A 22,023-nucleotide genomic window follows, 5' to 3' on the forward strand; every position below is an offset into this window, starting at 1 on the left:
AGCTCCTCAAGGAGTTCTGGGTTGGAGGTTTTAAGGAGATCATAGATGGTGATAGGCTGGAAAATTTGGGTAATTGATTAGTCAGGGTAATAGGGTAAAGTCATCAGAACAAGAAACTACATTATTTGCTGAGTCAGTTCCTTGTGGGGTCCTCTAGATCAGCTGGCATCAGTGAAGTCTTTCAGATCAGCTGACATCAGTGAGATCCTTCAGACCAGCCGAGTCAGTAGTTTTAGCAGTATGCTGGACCTGAAGGAATACCTCAAAAGGAAAGTTGATCATTTCATAATGTTTAAGTTAATATTTATAGAAGGATTAAGAGGAACTATAGTCTTGTAACAGGGTCTGCATAATTCTAGGACAACAGCCAAATAACTGTGAGGAAGTGAGTCGGAGAACAAGCTAACCTAATGATTAATGCTGAATGTACTACAAGCTTGGTTTACTTTTCTCTTTTTCTTTCTTTATCTTTGATTACTTTAACAAAGTTTAAAAAGATAGTGTCATCTTGAAACTCTCAATATCTTACATGATGGTTGTAAGAATCAACATGTATACGCTATATCATAAATGAACCTTTAAAATATTATGTTACATAAAAGAAGCCAGTCACAAAATACCACATATTGTATGATTCTATGCATTAAAAATTGTCCAGAATAGGCAAATCTATAGAGATAGAAATTCAATTAGCAATTACCTAGGACAGGGGAAATGCAGAAACTAGGGGTGGAGAGAAAAAGGCTAAGGACTATAGGGCTTATTTTGGGGAGATAAAAGGGCTCTCCAACTGATTGTTATGGTAGATGCACAATTCTGTGAATATACTATGAAACATTAAATTTTACACAATAATTGATAAATAGTATGATATTTAAATTACATGTCAACAAAGTTTACAAAAATATGTGGACCATGTTTAGTCATTTAATCTTTAGTTTTGTGTCAAATGGACTGCAGAAACAAGATCTGTCACTGCTACTGTTCTGGACACTCTTCTAAAATATATTGCATAAGACAGATGGCATGTCCATACAAGATCCTTGATATTAGCTGAAGGATAGCACTCATAAACATAAAAGGGAAATTAATCACATCTGTGTGAACAGATCATTTACCTTCATTTGTCTCTTTGCCATCCACATGCTCAGACTGTTGATTTAATGATATTGTATGTACTTTGACTTATAAGGGTTACATTTTAACTTCTTGGCTAATTTATCTTTGGACATAACCATGAGAAATGACAGAAAGGAACAGCAACTGGAAAACAAGCATTGCATTGCACCAGGATGTCTGTGAAATGGACTTCAGTAATTTTGCTAATACAACTGAGCTTTTGCTTTAGCTCTGGGAATTGTGGAAAGGTGCTGGTGTGGGCAGCAGAATACAGCCATTGGATGAATATAAAGACAATCCTGGATGAGCTTATTCAGAGAGGTCATGAGGTGACTGTACTGGCATCTTCAGCTTCCATTCTTTTTGATCCCAACAACTCATCCGCTCTTAAAATTGAAATTTATCCCACATCTTTAACTAAAACTGAGTTGGAGAATTTCATCATGCAACAGATTAAGAGATGGTCAGACCTTCCAAAAGATACATTTTGGTTATATTTTTCACAAGTACAGGAAATCATGTCAATATTTGGTGACATAACTAGAAAGTTCTGTAAAGATGTAGTTTCAAATAAGAAATTTATGAAAAAAGTACAAGAGTCAAGATTTGACGTCATTTTTGCAGATGCTATTTTTCCCTGTAGTGAGCTGCTGGCTGAGCTATTTAACATACCCTTTGTGTACAGTCTCAGCTTCTCTCCTGGCTACACTTTTGAAAAGCATAGTGGAGGATTTATTTTCCCTCCTTCCTACGTACCTGTTGTTATGTCAGAATTAACTGATCAAATGACTTTCATGGAGAGGGTAAAAAATATGATCTATGTGCTTTACTTTGACTTTTGGTTCGAAATATTTGACATGAAGAAGTGGGATCAGTTTTATAGTGAAGTTCTAGGTAAGTATTTTTTTCAATCAGTAACATGAAGCTCTAACTTATTTGTGTCTTTGAAGCAGAGCTTATATAAAGCCATAAAGTCAGGGTAGTGGGGTTTTGGTAAGTGAATTTATAAAACAAAAATACAAGATGATCTATTAATCTCACAAATATTATAGAAAAGCTTAAATTACAGGGTCAGTTAAAACCCTGTGGCCATCACTCACACAGAACACCCCAGGAAATCATAAACCTATACATTAGTGCATCTAAGACTTTAAGCAATTACACATCTGTTTTACTATACATTGTTTTACATCTTAAAAACAGTAAAATCCATCAAATAACTTCTTACTGAATGCATAGATTTAGAATGAGTAGTTACACATTTTTCTACAACTATCTATATAACTGCAGAAATTGTTTTTTCTTGTAAACTTGTTTTCTTATTTAGAAATCAAAAGATGTTCCCATATTACCAGAAGGTTTCCTTCACAGTAAAGAGAGATAATGTCTATACCTCAGATGCAAAAATCAATAAGGGCAATTTGAAGTTTCTAATGTTTCTATACTCTTTCACGAAAGAATTGGAAATCATTAATTTAAAGTCCAATCATCTTGTTGAAGTGTGAAGGTTGTTATATCTACATAGTTTTTTGAAACTATGTCTCTTTATTAGAACATATGAGACAAATTAAGGTTGAGTACAAATTTTTATTTCAATAATTTCTCAAAAATTTCTAGCTATAATGTACAAATATATTTACTTAAAAATATTATTAAGATCTTAGCTTGAATCTAAAAGAGTAGTTGGTACAAGGATTTCAGCCATACTCTCAACATAGTCCACAGTTCACTTGAACCAAAGATAAAAGAATTAGCTTAATGAGTTGTGTAAACTAGACTATTTCTTAGAAAATTATTTTTATGGGTAGAGTAGAATTAATTGATTATGGAGCTCAAAGAGTTGTTTAAATGTCCGTATGCTACTATTGAAGCTTTAAGAGAAAAGAAATTTTCTGTTTAACTTTCTATGGCTCATTTTAATAATTGTTTATGATTATGAGCATACTGATGCGACATTAGAGATGTAGCTTAACCTCACAATTCTCCTACTACTTTGTCTTTCTTATAAATACACATGGGCAAAATATGTAATACATAAAATTAAATTATATCTATATATGAATATGTGTATATATTTTTCAAAGCACAGATATTTGCCTACATTTTTGCCTACATTATTCTAACCCCTTTCAGAAATTTACCTAAAGTAATTATCTTGTGTCATCCACCTTTTTTTTTTCTATTCCTGTCAGGAAGACCCACTACATTATCTGAGACAATGGGGAAAGCTGACGTATGGCTTATTCGAAACTCCTGGAATTTTCAGTTTCCATATCCACTCTTACCAAATGTTGATTTTGTTGGAGGACTCCACTGCAAACCTGCCAAACCCCTGCCTAAGGTAAACATACTTTTGTTGGTTTTATTTTGTTGGCTTTGAATTTTCAGTAGAAATGATTCTATAGTCTTCTTTCAGAGTGTTTGACTTACACTGAAAGAAAGATGGGAAATGGGTGGGGTAAAGCAGATACCAATTAGAAACTCATGTGCACGTTAATACCATCACACGTATATGAGTTTTATGAGTATTACAAATAGAGAGGAATACTAAGGAGACTTTGAAAATAGGGTTGGTTAAATTAAAGTCTTCATTATGCAATACCTAAGAAGGTATTGGTCATCCAATCAAATAATATTTACAAAGGGATTAGCACAAAACACAGGTAAGTGCAGAATTTTCAGAGAAAAAAATAGACACAGTTTCTGTCCCCACATACCTTACATTCTACTTCAAAAGATAGAATATGTGCAAGTAATAAAAATTATATAAAAACTATTATCTGAAGGAAAAACGCAATACCAAGAAAGCATCAGTGGAGATAATAGAAAGTATCCTGCAGTCACTGATTAGTAAGATGAGAGCTGAACAATATGCAGGAATAGGTAAAAGAATGACGGGGAGAGACAGACAAAAAAAAAAAAAAAAAAAAAGAAGCAGGTAAAGTGGTCAGGACAGTTCTCAAGTCCTCAAGTTTAGTTTGCAGGGAGAGACTAAGACTCGGATGATGGTGAGAGGCAAATTAGAGCCAGATACGTATTAGGAGTTGAAATATTTATTAAGCACATTGAAAAACTACTAAAAAGATTAAGAAATAAAAATATATGAAAAGATTCTCTTTTTAAAGGAGAGCTTTCAAGATATTCAATGGATTAAATTGCAGGAGGGCCAGACTGTAAAGAGCCAACCATTCAGGAAATTTTGCAGGATTCAGGTAGCAGATGATGGAAAAGTCGACTAGAAAGTTGATAGAAATCATTATGCCCACATTTACAAAAATAGTGGCAACTTCATATTGTGTTGAGTGGAAAAATATTAACACAGACAAAACACTTAAAGTGTCTCTGGAATATAGTCAGTGACTCAGAAATATTATTAATTTTGCAATTATGGCTATTTTGTTATTATTACTAATACTACTAATTACTTAACATGTGCTGGTCACTTGAGATATCATTCTTCATTTAATAGAACCAGATTGTTCAGTACATCAAAATTATATTCTCTTGCAGAGTCATAGTTGACAGATACCCTGTGGACTTGATTAAAAGTAGACATATCAGTTTTGACAGTAAGATGAGCTACTTGAAATTCTAAAATTCTACCATAGGTAATAAGGATCTTCACCAGTATTGCAGCGTAAAACACTTCCTCAACAATAGAAATGTGTTCCTTTAATATTTGCAGACAAACTTAGTGTTCACTTGATCTTACTAAAGCATTTAAATCATTCTTCATTGAGACCCCAGAGATTTACATATTACAGCATAAACATACCCTATGAGAGCAGATGATTTTTGCCGTATGACAAGCAACTTATTAAAGCTTCCTGTGGGAACTCGTCTCAACATCATAGCTGCCTGACACAGAAGCACAGAGATAATGAACAATGCATGTATAATAAAGCACAAATAATTTATACCACTTGTATCTGAATGGCGCCCTTAGTTTAGATTCCAGGGAATTCTGTCAGCATATAAGATTATATTTTTTATGAAGGAACACAATAAACTCATATATTTTAAATTAATATCACACTTTTAAGACATATGTACAAAGCAAGCATTCTTTGTTACGTTATTATTTAATCTCTTAAAAGATCATTTTTGTCTACATAAAACTGAAATTTTATTCCATTGTTAAAACTCAATATCTATGTTGAATGAAAATTGTATGGGCTTTATATGATAACTTTCTCAAGAGACAAAAGCTGAGGTAAGACTAATGAAAAATCTATGCCACCCTACCCTACTCTTGAAAAATTTCCCCACCCATACTAAGGGAAAAACTGATAGTGTCAGTAGGAGGGGGAAGAGAATAGGAGGTGTAGAAGGACAAGAAAAGGGATGACTAGTACTAAAATAGTGATAATTACTACTACTAGCTGTTGTTATTAACTTGCAGAAAGATTTGAATGCAAGTCAATGGTTGTGAAACCCGTTCTTCGTTTATTATGTAAAATAATTGCTAACCCAGGTTGCTTTCATTTCAATTAAATATTAAATTCTAAGATAATTTCTTATAAGAGAAAAAGACACTTGACAAAATGTATCAGGTGTTTTAAAAATGAATATTGCTATCAGTTTTATAATATGTTCACGTGAAATCATACAGAGAAAAAAATTAATCAAGGTGTACCTATTAAACATTATGGAAAATATTCATAAAATTAACATTGGAAGTAATCCAACATCTTAAATGAAGGAATGATTAAAAACTTATACTATGTGCATACAATAGCATTACAATAATTTTATCAATGAAATATTCAACTACACTGTCAGCCATATTACAAATAAAGTGAGTTAGAAAATGATAAATATAACAAGATGACAAGTTTTTGCAGGAGGAAAATGTATACATAATAAGATTAAAATTATCTAAATAAGTGTCACATGTGTACATTGAGCTATGTAAATAGGACAAAAGCCATGATGAAAAAATATATTTTACATAAATAATATCACAACATAAAAATTTTAGAAAAATTTTATTTAAAAAAATTTTTTTCATGCTTTTATAAAATTTCTTACATTAATCTTATATTATTTTTATTATGTTATCACAGAAGAAGAAACAACCAGTCCATATCAGTGATGAATCTGTAAAGAGGCTCGATTCCTTCAACACTGGGTGGATAAATAAGGCTCTGGGCATCAAGCTAGTGAGATGAAACACTGAACACCAGTTACATTAAATATGGCTACAGGCAACTGCAATCACACGCAATACCTAGATGCCCCAAGTATTACCTGGAATAGCAGTACAATGACTCTCATGTTAAGATTAAAAATCATATTTTAAAAAAACACTCTGTAATATGTGGTCTGCAGAGTTAACATTTGGACTTTTTTTTCTTTGTTTTGTGAAGAACAGTTAGGAAAAGTTTTACCCCAATCATTAAATCTGAAAGTATTTAAATTTAAACATCGGCATATATTGGACAACGCAAGTCAGAATAATTCTCAATCGATTGCAGCCAAGCACATCTTCACTAGGAATGTTACGTGGTGTGTGTGAGCTACTCAAAAAAGAGACAAGATCTCCCCTGCAGAAAGGCCTGGTGGCCTCTTCTGTTCTGGTGCAAGTGCTGCCTCTGAGACACAACAAAGTGATGATGAGAGTTCCTCACATGCAGTTATAAACAGCACATCAATTTAACAGTGTGATTTCAGGGAAAAGTTATTCCACCTAAAGAATCACCTGAAAAATATGATCATTCAACTATGTAACTATATACAATTCTGTATGATAAATGAGACTCCTGGACTAATTCATAGAAATTCCAAATTACATTACCAGACTCCAGAATGTCAGCGGTTCTTAACCACCAGCTTTTATTTATTTTATTTTTTTTAGTTTTTGAAAAACTACCAGAAAACTCTGACAAACTTTAAGTGAAGTATAAAGCATTGTAGAGAAACATAAATGTAGATATAAAATTATCCCAACTGTGAGTAGCTTATCCTCAGAGCTCATAGTTAGGGAAGTAAACCACTAACTGTTTCCAACTAAGAGAATTCTACAGAAAACCTGCCTGAAATAAACACAAGGGATTTAGTAGAACAACAATATAGAATTAAAGCTGAGTGGTCCCACTTTCCAAGAACCTATATTAGTAACTTTAGTATTGTAAGAGAAGAGTCTGTGTATAATATTTTTAACATTATCTCCCTGACAACAATGTAATAGCTCCATTTCTTTTCTCCCTTACACACATGCACACAAATACATACACATACACACATATTTACACAAATATCCTTAACAGCATCCACCTATCTCATATTATACATCTACTTGCAAAAAAACTGAGTGATTGGGTCAGTTAAAAAATATTATTTACTCCAATAATTCCTCAAAATACTGGATTTTCTCTCTTTAGTAATTTGCACCAATTCTTTTGGTAGTGCCCGCTGTGCTAATACTCTTTTGTGATGAAGCAAATTCTTTCTTCACAGGAAATGGAAGACTTTGTACAGAGCTCTGGAGAAAATGGTGTTGTGGTGTTTTCTCTGGGGTCAATGGTCAGTAACATGACAGAAGAAAGGGCCAACGTAATTGCATCAGCCCTGGCCCAGATCCCACAAAAGGTAAGATGAAGTGCCTTACTGGTGTGGAAAACTACTGAAAGAGGCTGTTAAAGTTTGAAGTAATCCAATTATAGAAACTTCTGATAAATGTGAAGTTGACCAAAAGTTGAAAAATTAGAACAAGGATAATCTTGGAGAAACTATGAGAAGTTTGAAAATTGTGGTTGCATTTTTTTTTAAATGGTGTTAAGTATGAACATTCCCCTATGTAAATATGCTGACAATAAATTGAATGGAGAAAGGTATTTAAAAAGTGTTTGGAGACTTCTCACCTCCTGTCCATAAAATTTTGAATTGTGTATGTGATCTACATAGAAAGAATATTAAAGAGTAGATTGAACTCTTCATAGCTGAATATAGCCTTAAATATGCTTGTATAGCATCCACCGACAGAAGTAATAGTTGTGCCTCAGACTTAGGGGTTGCATGTGGCCCTGGAGGAGTTACTACCCTTGGTATGCATGAGTAGTTCCTATTAGCATCAGTGGGAACTCAGTACTCCATATGTATTCACAAAAGGCAACTTGAGACCCACAGTTATTTTTAATTTCTGATATTAACACTCATACATACTGCTGAATTTAACTCAATATATTTCAGTTAAGTGAAAATGGTGCTTAATGTAGTCTTTAGAATGACTTTCAGGTGTTTTCACAAAAAACGTATATCCAGAACTGTGTCCTTTTAGAAATACAAGTAAAATTTTTGATAATTAGCTTCAAAACAGTTTTCCTAATCTCAGCAGTATCCAATGAGTGAAGAACACTTGACTGACTCTTGGGTCACCTCTATTACTTATTGTACTCTGGAAGCTCTTGGTGAATGTTTACGATTATGGGATGTAGTATTTCTGTTTGCACTTTAAGTCAAATGCTTGTATAAAATACGTGACAACAAATGGAGAATATTGGCTCTGTTAGTAGTTATGCGGTATATTCTCTGTTTAAGGATCTGTGCTAGTATAACATGATTGAATGTTATTAATTTAGGAATAATAACCAACACATGTGAGGAGTAGGGGACTAAGGAGAATGAATTCCAATCCTGTGATTAAAAGTGTAAACTATAGGCCAGGCACGGTAGCTCACGCCTGTAATCCCAGTATTTTCGGAGGCCGAGGCAGGCGAATCACGAGGTCAGAAGTTCAAGACCAGCTTGGCCAACATGGTGAAACCCGTCTCTACTGAAAATAGAAAAAATTACACAGGCATGTTGGCACACACCTGTGATCACAGCTACTCGGGAGGCTGGGGCAGGAGAATCACTTGAACCTGGGAGGCAGAGGTTGCAGTGAGCCAAGATCACACCAATGCACTCCAGCCTGGGCAAACCCCTCTCAAAACAAATGTAAACTGTAGATTCTACTGTAGTATATTTCAGGATCTAGAAGTCTTATTTTTATAAAGATGGAGTCTGGAAGATATTGCTAATGTATTTTACTTCAACATAGGGAACAAACTTTTTAAGTATATTAATAAATATTCCCGTATGGTTAGTTTTTTACATTTTTAAAAATAAACTTTATGGATATGACAAATTAAAAAAAAGAAACTTCCTGCCTAAAAATTTAGCTGATGGGAAAGCAATAATTTTCTCAGATATTAGTTCAAAATCAAAAATATACATTAACGATGCTAAAATAATACAGAGGGTGTTTTTCATTGATAATAAATTTGGCATTAATAGTATGATCAAGAATAAATTTATTCAAGAAATGTAGGTGAAGTTTTGGTATTGCCATGATATTGGGGTCAGGTAAGAGATATCACCAAATTCTGCCCCTGTCATTTGACCCTTTTGTTTAAGAATTCCTTAGGGCACTGTACACACTACAGGTGTTATCAGAAAAAGTTACATTTTAATGGGTAACTTCACTACCACAATAACAATAGCAGGTATTTCAAAAAGTCTGACATGCATCATGCAATTTAGTCTTGGCATGTAATCCAGCCTCTTGTACTTCCTGTACATTTTGGAAGAGGTGTATCTGAGTAATGTTCAGGGTACTATTCAGAGACAGAACAGCCTAGGCGGACAGACAACTATCCCAAGTACCCACATAGCCAGATAGATTTAGAGAAAGAGAAAAAGCCTGCCCTGCTGGACTGCGCCCAGCCAATGTCTGAAGCAGGAAGATGAAAGGGTGGAGATGGATCCTGCCCTGAAGGTGGACCCTGTGCAGTATAAAATGTGGCCCCACAAGGACTCTGCACTATCAGATTAACAACTCCTCCCAATGGAGGAAGCAGAAGGAAATATAGAAGGGAGTCAAACAGAAGGAGGCCAGGCACAGAAACAACTTCAGATACCCCCTCTATAAAATATAGTAGAAATATATTATCTTTTATATAGAATAAGCCAGTGACCTTTGTGTATTTGTCAATTACTTTTTAATTTCCTGCCTGATAAAGCTTTCTTGTAATGACCTCTTCCAACTTTTGCTGAAACCTGAGTTACTTTAACACTGATGTAGCAAATAAAAGTTAAACACTGTAAATTATTGTTTAGTTTATGAGGATTGCTTGGGAGTTTCAAAATTAGTAACTTAAACATAAAATGTCTTGGCTATAGCAGAACATGTTAATCACTATTGTCAAAGCTTTGTAGCACGTTGTCTCAGTGTTAATAATCAGTTAACCAAATTCAGCAAGATACAATTTTGAGTTTTTTCAACAGCTGTGTTTTTATTCATGACACCAACAGATTCTTCATTTCTATGCTGAAAAATATCCAAAATTAGAAATACTGATAATACTCTGAATTTGTGTCAAAAATAACCACCTGAAATTTATTTTGGAAGTAGTGCTTGATAATTTATAATTCCAATGAAGTTATACATAAAACCTTTGCAGCATTAATCTATTTCTTATAAGTAGCTTATTTATGGACTTGTTATTTTGTCAATCAAAGGACAACAGGCTCTAATATAACAACCTACACACAAGTAGATACATGTGAACTACTTCCCAAATTACTCAAAAAGATATGAATACATTAAAATTAAATTTGGAAAATGAAAACTAATATAAAATACATAAAACAAAATAAGCACGCAGGTCATTACAAAATTGTTACTATTTTTTACACTAGAATTATAAGGAATAGCTAAAATTTTTATACATTTTTAGAATATTTTTAATTTTAAAAAATTAAATTAATTTAACTTTTATTTGTAACTTTTATTTTAAGTTCAAGGGGACATGTGTAGTTTTTTTACATAGGTAAACTTGTGTCATGGGGGGTTATTGTACTGTTCGTTTCATCACCCAGATATTAAGGCTAAAATCAGTTAATTATTTTTCCTGATCCTCCCACCCTCCACCCTCCAATACACCACAGTGTATGTTGTTCCTGTCTATTTGTCCACATGTTCTCATCTTTCACCTTCCACTTATAAGTGAGGACATGCCATATTTATATTTCCATCCCTTTGTTAGTTTGCTAAGGATAATGGCCTCCAGCTCCATCCATATCCCTGCAAAATACATAATTTTGTTCTTTTTTATGACTGCATAATATTCTGTAGTGTATATGTACCATATTTTCTCTATTCAGCCCATAATCAATGGGCATTTAGGTTGATTCCATGTCGTTGCTATTGTGAAAAGTACTGCAATTAATACACCTGTGCATGGGTCTTTATAAAAGAACCATTTATAGTCCGTTGGTTATATACCCAGTAATGGGATTGCTGGGTTTCATGGTATTTTTACCTCTAGGTTTTTGAGGAATCGCCAGTCTTCCACAATGGTTGAACAAACTTACATTCCCACCAACAGATTATAAGCAAGCCTTTTCTATACTACCTCACCAGTATCATGATATTTTTTGAGTTTTTAATAATAGCCATTCTGACTGGTGTGAGATGCTATCTCATTATGGTTTTGATTTGCATTTCTCTAATGATGTTAAGCTTTTTTCTTTTTTTTTTTCATATGATGGTTGGCCACACGTAGGTTTTCTTTTAAAAGGTGTAACAATTTTTTAAATGCTTGAAATTTTCATTGATAATCTGATTTTTTCTAAGGTACTATTTTGGAAAATCATGATTTCCTTATATACCTAACTAATTATAAAAGTTGAGAAAATTAATGTGAGTATTCTATTTACATTAGTCTTTGAGTAGTTCTTATTTACTAACATCCCTTGATCTCATTCCTACTCTTTATACAGTTCTCACATTCTATAACTTTTGAATTCCACTCATGGAATAAAATATTTTCTTTATTGTAACAGGTTCTGTGGAGATTTGATGGGAATAAACCAGATACCTTAGGTCTCAATACTCGGCTCTACAAGTGGATACCCCAGAATGACCTTCTAGGTAAGACTCTGGTGAACAAATACTGAATATATTAGTAACAGCACATTAGAGTGTTAATAGTTCATCATGAAACAAGCTTATTGAATATTTGTTAAGGAAAAACAAAATGTAACTTCTTTATATTGATTTTCCAGTCTTAAGGGAGAAAGAATACATTATAATTTTTGGCATTTTATGATATACACCCACATTCTTTATAGTCTGAATCGGGGGAATCTTTATTTCAGGTGTTATTATATCTCACAAAATTTTTCAATAACTTCCTGGGCTGTCTCTCTGTCTCCTATTTCTACAACTTTACACCTGTTTTTTTCCTCTCCCGCAGGGTTATTTGAAATGCCACTAAAAATAATAGCTCTTCTATCACCAGTGACTCTGTATTTTCTGAAGAATTAAACTGCTAATCTTAATCATACAGTGATGATACATTTCACGATGAAGTGTGACCTGTCCTTCCTCAATCCTAGCACCACCACCAAACCACTGCCTGCTGCCTTGCCCACCCCATATATCACACTCTGTGACTGCACTTAAAATAAGAGTTCACTTCATGCCTATCTCTTTGCTGTCTTCTTTTTTGCACATTTTTGAAATCTAGAATGCAATTTTTCATTAGCCCAACTGGAAATCTTGTATTGTTTTGCAGTCTGAAGTCACACACACCGTATAGCCTTCAGTTACATACCCAGTACAAGTACGTGTTTTTTCCTCCGAAGTCTGAAACACAATTTTAATTTAGTTCAGTGTTTTAGCTGGAAAACACTGTCACTTTCAGAGCCTTTCATTGTGCATCTCATTTTATTCCTATGAGTAATTTTGCTAAAATTCATCCAATCCTAGGTCATCCAAAGACCAGAGCTTTTATAACTCATGGTGGAGCCAATGGCATCTACGAGGCAATCTACCATGGGATCCCTATGGTGGGGATTCCATTGTTTGCCGATCAACCTGATAACATTGCTCACATGAAGGCCAGGGGAGCAGCTGTTAGAGTGGACTTCAACACAATGTCGAGTACAGACTTGCTGAATGCATTGAAGAGAGTAATTAATGATCCTTCGTGAGTAGAACAATATTTTTCACTAGGTGGTATTTACAGATAGCTTCTCTTGTCAATAGTGAGTGTGAGTTTCATCCTTTTTATAAGAGACTAATTTTGAAAGAATTTAAATGATTTAACCAATCTGAAATCTGCTTTTATTTTTATAAGTTATTTAAAAATTGAATTTGAAACACATACATCTAAAGAATAGCCAGTTAGTGAAACAATTTTCTACACAAAAATAATTTTAAAAGGATATAGATAATACAAAAAATACATTTCTTAAAAATTTGACATAATTAATCCATAGAAGAAAGGAAGAATAAACCTGAAATAATATAATAAAATATTTTAATTAGATATCTAAAACACCTCAGAGTATAACCATTTTCTTGCTGAAAAATTAACTTTTATTATTATCATTATTGTAACAGACTTGAAAATGAGATTTAATTTTGATAGCATAAAACCCCCCTGTTTATGTTATAAAATCCAAATATATTTAGTATGTTTACAGAGCCATGAAGCCATCACTATTACATAATTTTAGAACATTTTTATCAACACAAAAGAAACTGCAATGACACAGAAGTCACTTCCTATGACCGCTTAGCCCTGGTCTAACTAATTTGTTTCCTTTCTCTATAGATTATTCTCTTTAGATATTTCATATGAATGGAATCATACAGTTTAGGGTGTTGTGAAATGACATTTCACCTAGGCTAATTTTTTGTTGTTTTTTTTTTCTGGTTTTAGTTTCATTCATGTTGTTGTGTGTTTTAATACTTCATTTCTTTTTATAGCAGTTTAATATTTTTTAGTAAAGATATGTCATATTTTAGTTGTTCACTTATCAGTTCATTGGCCTTTTGATTGTTTTCAATTGTGGCTATTAGGAAGATTGCTACACATGTTTTTGCATAAACATGTTTTCCTTTCTTTAGGGTTGATACTATAAGTGGAATTGCTGCTTCATGTGGGAACTGTATGTTTATGAAGAACTGCTAAACTGTCTTCCAAAGTACTTGTTTCATTCATGACTACCACCAGCAGTACAACATGGTTCCAATTCCTCCATACTTTTGCCAAACCTGTTATTCCCTGACTTTTTGTTACAGCCTTCTTAGTGGGTGTAAAATGATCTCTCATCCTGGTCTTGGATTGCATTTTCATTACGGCTAAAGGTGTTGAGAATCTTCATACGTGCCTACTGATCATTCATATATCTTCTTTGAAAACAGTCTATCCAATCCTTGGAACATTTTTAAACTTTGCTATTTGTCTTATTATTAAGTTTAAGAACTATTTATATATTATGGGTCATGTCAGATATATAACTTGTAAATATTTTGTCCCACTCTGGGTGCACTAAATTTTACTTTTTGATGTTGGTCTTTGAAGCACAAAAAATATAATTTTAAGTTAAATTTTTAATAATTGATTTTTTCAAACCCAAAGATATCAATGTGCAAAATTCCTTGTGGAGTCCAGCTACCATCAATTCAGCATTTATAGCTACTATCAATAATGTTTTTTTATATAAGCAGGGTATCATCTAAAGGAATACTTGAAAAATACTTTATCACAAAAAAAGAAGGATAATGAATGATAAAAATACCTTTAAAGAAGATAGGAAATAATTGAAAAAGAACACAAACCAGCTTGGACAAATAGAAAAAAAATATATAAAGCAAATTGGTAGATTTAAATATGATTATACAAATACTTTCACTCAATCTAAACAGACTTTAGAAAAGAGCAAGTAATTAGTAAAGACATAAAACATTTGAAGAACACAATTAACAAATGGAATCTTATAATGTAAAATGATACAAACGCACATACATACACACACAATAAACATATATGTATCATATATATCAACTTGAAGACACATTTTCCTAGAGCATGTCGAATAGTTATCTGAAGTGATATGTGGTGGGCAATAAATCAAGATTTAGTACATATAATAAGGTTCAATATCATAAAGACTATATGATCCAGCCATAGTGGAAGTAAGGGAGGTTATAAAAACTATAACTAACATATCTTTAAATTTTAGAGATCAAGAGGTGAATCACAACTATGTCTCCACTTTTATCTCAACAATTCTACTCCCAGTTATATACCCAACAGATATGTATAAATAAATCTAATACCATATAGAAGAATATTTATGACAGAATTATCAATATTGTCCAAAAATTGTTAGCAACCCAAATATCTATTAATCATAAAATGAAGACATAATCTGTGCTTTATCAATCAACAGAATACTACACAGCAATGGAATTACCCAACAACTGCTACATTAAAAAAAGACACTAATGAGTACGTATTATATAATTCAATTACATAAACAAGCAAACTAATGTATGCTATTCGAAGTCAGGCTAATCCTTAGTTGGTGGACAAAAGTGGTGACTAAATGGTTCAGAAAAAGAGAGTTATTCTAGGCAGGTTGTGATATCCTATACCACAATCTGAACAGTAGGTAAATCGATATCTTCACCTCAAGATAATGTTCAAGATGATCTTACATTTTTGAACTATTCACTTAGTGTATGAATATTTATCTTTTGTATTTAATATTTAAATGTTTATTTTATGAGATATATAATGCATTTTAAAATTCTAGGACTCAAATAGCAAAATAAGCACAGAAAATAGAGAAAATCCTAGTGGTTCCATCATAATGTGGCCAGTAAAAGCCTCTCTTAGAGGTAACATTAGAAGGAAGCCACAAGAAGGGAGAGAAGCATTCCTTGGGTTGTAGCAAGAGAGAGTACTCCAAGAGCGGGAGAGAGGGGAAAAAAATGTGTAAGGTACTAAGATGAGAACACCTTTGGGAGCTTAAAGTAAAATAGAAGGCCAATCTAGAAGACAGTGTGCAGGGGAAAAGTGTTAGGAAAAGAGTTTGCCCGTGTCTAAAAATGTAGGGTTCTGTAGACCAAATAACAGAGTTGGATTTTATTCTAAAAATAATGAGAAGCCAGGCAAAAGTCTTAATCAGGGGAGTGCTTTAAACTGACTTTAATTGAAAAAATCATTCTGGCTACAGGGTGGGAAAGAGTAGGAGACAAAAGAGTAATGTAGAAGCAAAGTGACTAGCTATGAGGCACGTCACTCACCATGACACAATTACTTTTTCGGAACTTAGAGATGATAATTCTCATATTGCATTTTCACGATCTTTCTCATAGCACTTAAAAGGGCTCATGATGTTGAGCATGTTCTCCGTATGTCTGTTTGAGAACTAAGAGTGTAATTAGATTGTTCATAATACAAAGGATAAATGCATAAGGGATGAATATCCTATTTTCCATGATGTGATTATTTCATATTGTATCAAAACATCTCATATACCCCATAAATATATACACTTAATATGTACCCTCAAAAACTTAAACAATTAAAAACAAATTAAAAATGCCTTATATTTTCTCTGCTTCAAAAAAAATTAACTTTCTCAGCTAACATTCAATTTCTACTTTAAAAATATTTCTCAATGAGAGAAGTCCAATTTAAAAGCCAAACTTTCTATGATGACTCAAATTAAAATACACAAATTCGATGTCAATTCTTTGACATTTATTTTGAATTATTTGGCCCTTTAAAAGCCTTTCGTAAACTTGATATGGACAGGCAAATTAACTTACTTTCAGTATTAGGGAGGAGACCATGCTTCATATCGTCTTATGCCCAATTTCTGCCTCCAAAGAAAGAAGTAAAAACTAAAAGGCAGAAATGAAATCCACAAGCAGACAGCCCAGTGCCACACCCTGTGCCTGATAGTTAAAGATCGACCCCTGACCTAACCAGTTATGTTATCTATAGATTCCAGACATTGTATGGAAAAGCATTGTAAAAATCCCTGTCCTGTTCTGTTCCATTCTGATTACTGGTGCATGCAGCCCCCAGTTATGTACCCACTGCTTGCTCAATCGATCATGACCCTCTCACGCAGACCCCCTTAGAGTTGTGAGCCCTTAAAAGGGACAGGAATTGCTCACTCAGGGAGTTCAGCTCTTGAGAGAGGAGTCTTGCCGATGCTCCCAGCCGAATAAAACCCTTCCTTCTTTAACTCGGTGTCTGAGGGGTTTTGTCTGTAACTCTTCCTGCTACATTACTGTCTTTATTTTTATCTTTCAGATATAAAGAGAATGTTATGAAATTATCAAGAATTCAACATGATCAACCAGTGAAGCCCCTGGATCGAGCAGTCTTCTGGATTGAATTTGTCATGCGCCACAAAGGAGCTAAACACCTTCGGGTTGCAGCCCACGACCTCACCTGGTTCCAGTACCACTCTTTGGATGTGATTGGGTTCCTGCTGGTCTGTGTGGCAACTGTGATATTTATCGTCACAAAATGTTGTCTGTTTTGTTTCTGGAAGTTTGCTAGAAAAGCAAAGAAGGGAAAAAATGATTAGTTATATCTGAGATTTGAAGCTGGAAAACCTGATAGGTGAGACTACTTCAGTTTATTCCAGCAAGAAAGATTGTGATGCAAGATTTCTTTCTTCCTGAGACAAAAAAAAAAAAAGAAAAAAAAATCTTTTCAAAATTTACTTTGTCAAATAAAAATTTGTTTTTCAGAGATTTACCACCCAGTTCATGGTTAGAAATATTTTGTGGCAATGAAGAAAACACTACGGAAAATAAAAAATAAGATAAAGCCTTATGAGCTCGTATTGAAATTTGTTGAACTTATATTGAAATTTGTTGTTCTAATTCACAGTATACTCACAAAAAAATTTACTCAGCTTAACTATATTTCACACATTGTACATAAACACAAGATCATTAAGAAGTCCACTGACAGTATCAGTACTGTTTTGCACATACTCAGAATAATTTGGCTTCATTTTGAACAGGATTGTATTGTTTTAACTGCTGCTAAAGAAACTATTACATAGTTAAATTGTACAGAAAGTCTCTCTTCCTTTTGATATTTTAAGATGAGTAGTATTGCTTGGCTTTTATAATGCATGCAGCTTTATTCTCATATTTTTCCTAAAATTTATGGCCAAGTGTTTACTGTTTTAGAGCTTAAGTCATTTCTCAGTGGAAATTATGGGGAATTAGAAATACAGCAACTCTTACCTTCTTCCTACTGTAAAATTGAACTATTTTGTAACATCTTTGGTTTCATGAGCCAATTCTATTTTTTCTAGATATTTAAAAATATACATCTGGTTGACTTTATTCTCATATTTTTAATTATTTCAATAGTTATTTGGGAACAGGTGGTGTTTGATTAAATGGGTAAGTTCTTTAGTGGTAATTTCTGAGGTTTTGGTGCACATATCATGTGAGCAGTGTACCCTGCACTCAATGTATATAATCTTGTATCCCTCACCCCCTCCCACCCTCCCCTCTGAATCCTGAGAGCCTATTATATTTTTCTTGTGCCTTTGCATCCTCATAGCTTAGCTCCCACTTGTAAGTGAGAATTTATGATGTTCAATTTTCTATTCCTGAATTACTTCACTTAGAATAATGCTCTCCCACTCCTTACAAGTTGCTGTTAATGCCATTGCTTTGTTTCTTTTTATGGCTTAGTAGTATTCCATGGTGTATATATATAGTATGTATATGTGTGTGTGTATACTTGTATATGTCTATGTGTGTGTGTATATATATATATATATATATATCACATTTTCTTTATCCACCTGTTGGTTGATGGGCATTTAGGCTGGTTCCATATTTTTAAAATTGCTAATAGTGCTGTTGTAAACATGTATGCGCATGGGTCTTTTTCATATAAAACTTTTCTTCTGGGAAGATACACAGTAGTGGGATTGCTGGATCAAATGGTACTTCTACTTTTAGTTCTTATAGGAATCTTCATATGGTTTTTCACAGTATTTGTACTAGTTTGCATTCCCACAGCAGCATAAAACTGTCCCCTTTTTCCCACATCCATGCCAACATTGTATTACTTTTGGATTTTTAAATTAGGCCATTCTTGCAGGAGTATAGTGGTATTGTGTCTGGAATTGGTGGGTTCTTTGTCTCACTGACTTCAAGAATGAAGCCGCAGACCCTGGCGGTGAGTGTTAGAGCTCTTAAGCTGGCGCGTCTGGAGTTTGTTCCTTCTGATGTTCAGATGTGTTCGGAGTTTCTTCCTTCTGGTGGGTTCTTGGTCTTGCTGGCTCAGGAGTGAAGCTGCAGACCTTCGCGGTGAGTGTTATAGCTCTTAAGGTGGCGTGTCTGGAGTTGTTCATTCCTCCCGGTGGGCTCATGGTTTTGCTGGCTTCAGGAGTGAAGCTGCAGACCTTCTCGTTGAGTGTTACAGCCCATAAAAGCAGTGTGGACCCAAAGAGTGAGCAGTAGCAAGATTTATTGCAAAAAGCAAAAGAACACATCTTCCACAGTGTGGAAGGGGACTGGAGCGGGTTGCCACTGCCGGCTAGGGCAGCCTGCTTTTATTCTCTTATCTGGCCCCACCCAATCCTGCTGATTGGTAGAGCCCAGTGGCCTGTTTTGACAGGGCGCTGATTGGTGCGTTTAGAATTCCTGAGCTAGATACAAAGGTTCTCCATGTCCACATCAGATTTGTTAGATACAGAGTTTCGACACACAGGTTCTCCAAGGCCCCACCAGAGCAGCTAGATACAGAGTGTTGACTGGTGCACTCACAAACCCTGAGCTAAACACAAGGTGCTGATTGGTGTGTTTACAATCCCTGAGCTAGACATAAAGGTTCTCCAAGGCCCTACCAGAGCAGCTAGATACAGAGTGTCAATTGGTGCACTCACAAACCTTGAGCTAAACACAGGGTGTTGATTGGTGTGTTTATAATCCCTGAGCTAGACATAAAGACTCTCCACGTCCCCACCAGACTCAGGAGCCCAGCTGGCTTCACCCAGTGGATCCCACACTGGGGTCGCAGGTGGAGCTGCCTGCCTGCCAGTCCTGCGCCATGCGCTTGCACTCCTCAGCCCTTGGGCGATGGATGGGACTGGGCGCCCTTGAGCAGGGGGCGGCACTCGTCGGGGAGGCTTGGGCTGCACAGGAGCCCATGGTGGGGGTGGGAAGCTCAGGCATGGCGGGCTGCAGGTCCCCAGCCCTGCCCTGCAGGAAGGCAGCTAAGGCCCAGTGAGAAATCGAGCGCAGCGCCAGTGGGCGGGCACTGCTGGGGGACCCAGTACACCCTCCGCAGCCGCTGGCCCGGGTGCTAAGCCCCTCACTTCCCGGGCCGGCAAGGCCGGCCGGCTGCTCCGAGTGCGAGGCCGGCCAAGCCCACGCCCACCCGGAACTCCAGCTGGCCCACAAGCACTGCACGCAGCCCTGGTTCCCGCTCGCACCTCTCCCTCCACACCTCACTGCAAGCTGAGGGAGCCGGCTCTGGCCTTGGCCAGCCCAGAAAGGGGCTCCCACAGTGCAGTGGTGGGATGAAGGGCTCCTCAAGTGCCACCAAAGTGGGAGCCCAGGCAGAGGAGGTGCCGAAAGCAAGCAAGGGCTCTGAGGACTGCCAGCATGCTGTCACCTCTCAGTATTGCATTGTGCTTTTGATTTGCATTTTACTGATAGTGAAGTTGAGTATTTTTTCATACGTGTTGGCCAATTATATATCTTCTTTTAAGAATTGTCTATTTATTACCTTAGCCTACTTTTTGAACGGTTTTGTTTTTCTCTTGTGGATTTGTTTTAGTTCTTTGTAGACTCTGGACATTTGTCCTTTGTCAGATGCATACTTCCTGAATATTTTCAATTACTCTGTGAGTTGTCTATTTACACAACTGATTATTTCTTTTGCTGGCAGAAGCTTTTTAGTTTAATTAAATCACAACTGTTTATCTTTGTTTTAGTTGCATTTGCTTTTGGATTTTTGGTCATGATGTTTTTACCTAACCCAATGTCTAGAAGAGTTTTTGAAATGTTACCTTCTAGAATTTTTTATTGTTTAAGGTTTAGATTTCATTATGTGATCCATCTTGAGTTGATTTTTATAAGGTGAGAGACAAAGATGCAGTTTCATTCTTCTACGTGTGGATTGCCAATTATTTCAGCCCCGTTTGTTGAATAGGGTGTCATTTCCCCACTTTATGTTTTCGTTTGCTTTGTCAAAGATCAGTTAGCTGTAAGTATTTGGCTTTATTTCTGGATTCTCTATTCTGTTCCATTGATCTACATGCCTGCTTTTATACCGATACCATGTTGTTTTGGTAACTTTGAATATGCCTTTTAACATGATGGGTAATGTAGAGAGGAGGTGCCAGCTGGGCTTCCTGGGTCAAGTATGGACTCAGAAAGCTGTGAAACTCACTCATTTACTGCAGGAGGACTTACTTCGATCCTGGATGAATAATATTGAAGATAAATGCTTAAAATATTCCTAACACCAGGATTTGTGCATGTGTTTTCTTCCCCAAGAAAGCTATAAACAATGAAAATTTTGCTGTAAGTTTCCCTGTGTCCTCTCTTCCTCTCTCCCTTCCCCATTCCCGAAAACTAAAGTGAAAGAAATGTTAACTGCCTGTTTTTCTGTAACCAGTGGGCCTTATCTATACTCCTAATTCCAGTTCCTTGTAAACATCCTTTGTAAAGTCCCATAAGATCCTGTCTCCTTTGCCATACAGCTGCAAGGTCATAAAGTAGATAAAACCTAAGTTGCAATTCTGGTTTTCCTCAAGATCTAAGACATGTTACAAAGAGTTAATTGTCTTTGTTTCTCATCTGGTAACATCTACCCGCTGCACATATTTCTTACCTTAAAGAGTTTAAAAGGCAATCGTATAATCCAACTCTGCCTACACTTTCGGGACCCCTTCCACACTCTGGAAGCTTTGTACTCTTGTTCTGCTCGATAAAACCTACTGCTCATTCTCGGTCCGGGTCTCTATCACTTGCCGTGGTCAGCTGCCGCACCAGTTTTTGGTGTGGCTAGGCAAGAACCTTAGGCATTACAATGTGATGCCCCCAGATTTGTTCTTTTT

General features: G+C 35.3%; 1 protein-coding gene across 3 annotated transcripts in view, besides 3 other annotated features; it reads left to right on the forward strand.

Moving 5' to 3' along the window:
- Window positions 1-17,759, forward strand: part of UGT2B7 (UDP glucuronosyltransferase family 2 member B7) — a 61,613-nt gene extending 43,854 nt beyond the window's left edge. Inside the window, exons 1-6 of one of the 3 annotated variants that reach the window (NM_001074.4) lie at window positions 1,246-2,013; window positions 3,312-3,460; window positions 7,579-7,710; window positions 11,947-12,034; window positions 12,875-13,094; window positions 17,229-17,759. In NM_001074.4, the coding sequence (NP_001065.2) occupies window positions 1,293-2,013; window positions 3,312-3,460; window positions 7,579-7,710; window positions 11,947-12,034; window positions 12,875-13,094; window positions 17,229-17,508 (1,590 nt within the window). In that variant the 5' untranslated portion in view covers window positions 1,246-1,292 and the 3' untranslated portion in view covers window positions 17,509-17,759. Of the gene's footprint in view, window positions 1-1,245; window positions 2,014-3,311; window positions 3,461-7,578; window positions 7,711-11,946; window positions 12,035-12,874; window positions 13,095-17,228 lie in introns of those variants that run through there. The other 2 variants (NM_001349568.2, NM_001330719.2) reach the window with 2 other exon arrangements.
- Window positions 3,212-3,588: an enhancer, noted in NCBI's record as "UGT2B7 (B) eExon fragment used in the reporter construct". NCBI's record gives its function as "activates a pGL4.23 vector minimal promoter by reporter assays in HepG2 cells and mouse liver" and the evidence as "EXISTENCE:reporter gene assay evidence [ECO:0000049][PMID:25340400]".
- Window positions 7,848-7,992: an enhancer, noted in NCBI's record as "145 bp enhancer 238 fragment used in the MPRA reporter construct; PK_construct_1404". NCBI's record gives its function as "activates an SV40 promoter by MPRA in HepG2 cells {active_cell/tissue: HepG2}" and the evidence as "EXISTENCE:reporter gene assay evidence [ECO:0000049][PMID:23512712]".
- Window positions 7,914-7,925: a transcriptional cis regulatory region, noted in NCBI's record as "FOXA motif; enhancer activity is reduced when this motif is scrambled". NCBI's record gives its function as "necessary for full MPRA enhancer 238 activity {active_cell/tissue: HepG2}" and the evidence as "EXISTENCE:site-directed mutagenesis evidence [ECO:0005528][PMID:23512712]".
- Window positions 17,760-22,023: the final 4,264 nt, after the last annotated feature.

The sequence above is a fragment of the Homo sapiens genome, chromosome 4 (assembly GCF_000001405.40).
Source record: "Homo sapiens chromosome 4, GRCh38.p14 Primary Assembly".
Taxonomy (NCBI): Eukaryota; Metazoa; Chordata; class Mammalia; order Primates; family Hominidae; genus Homo; species Homo sapiens.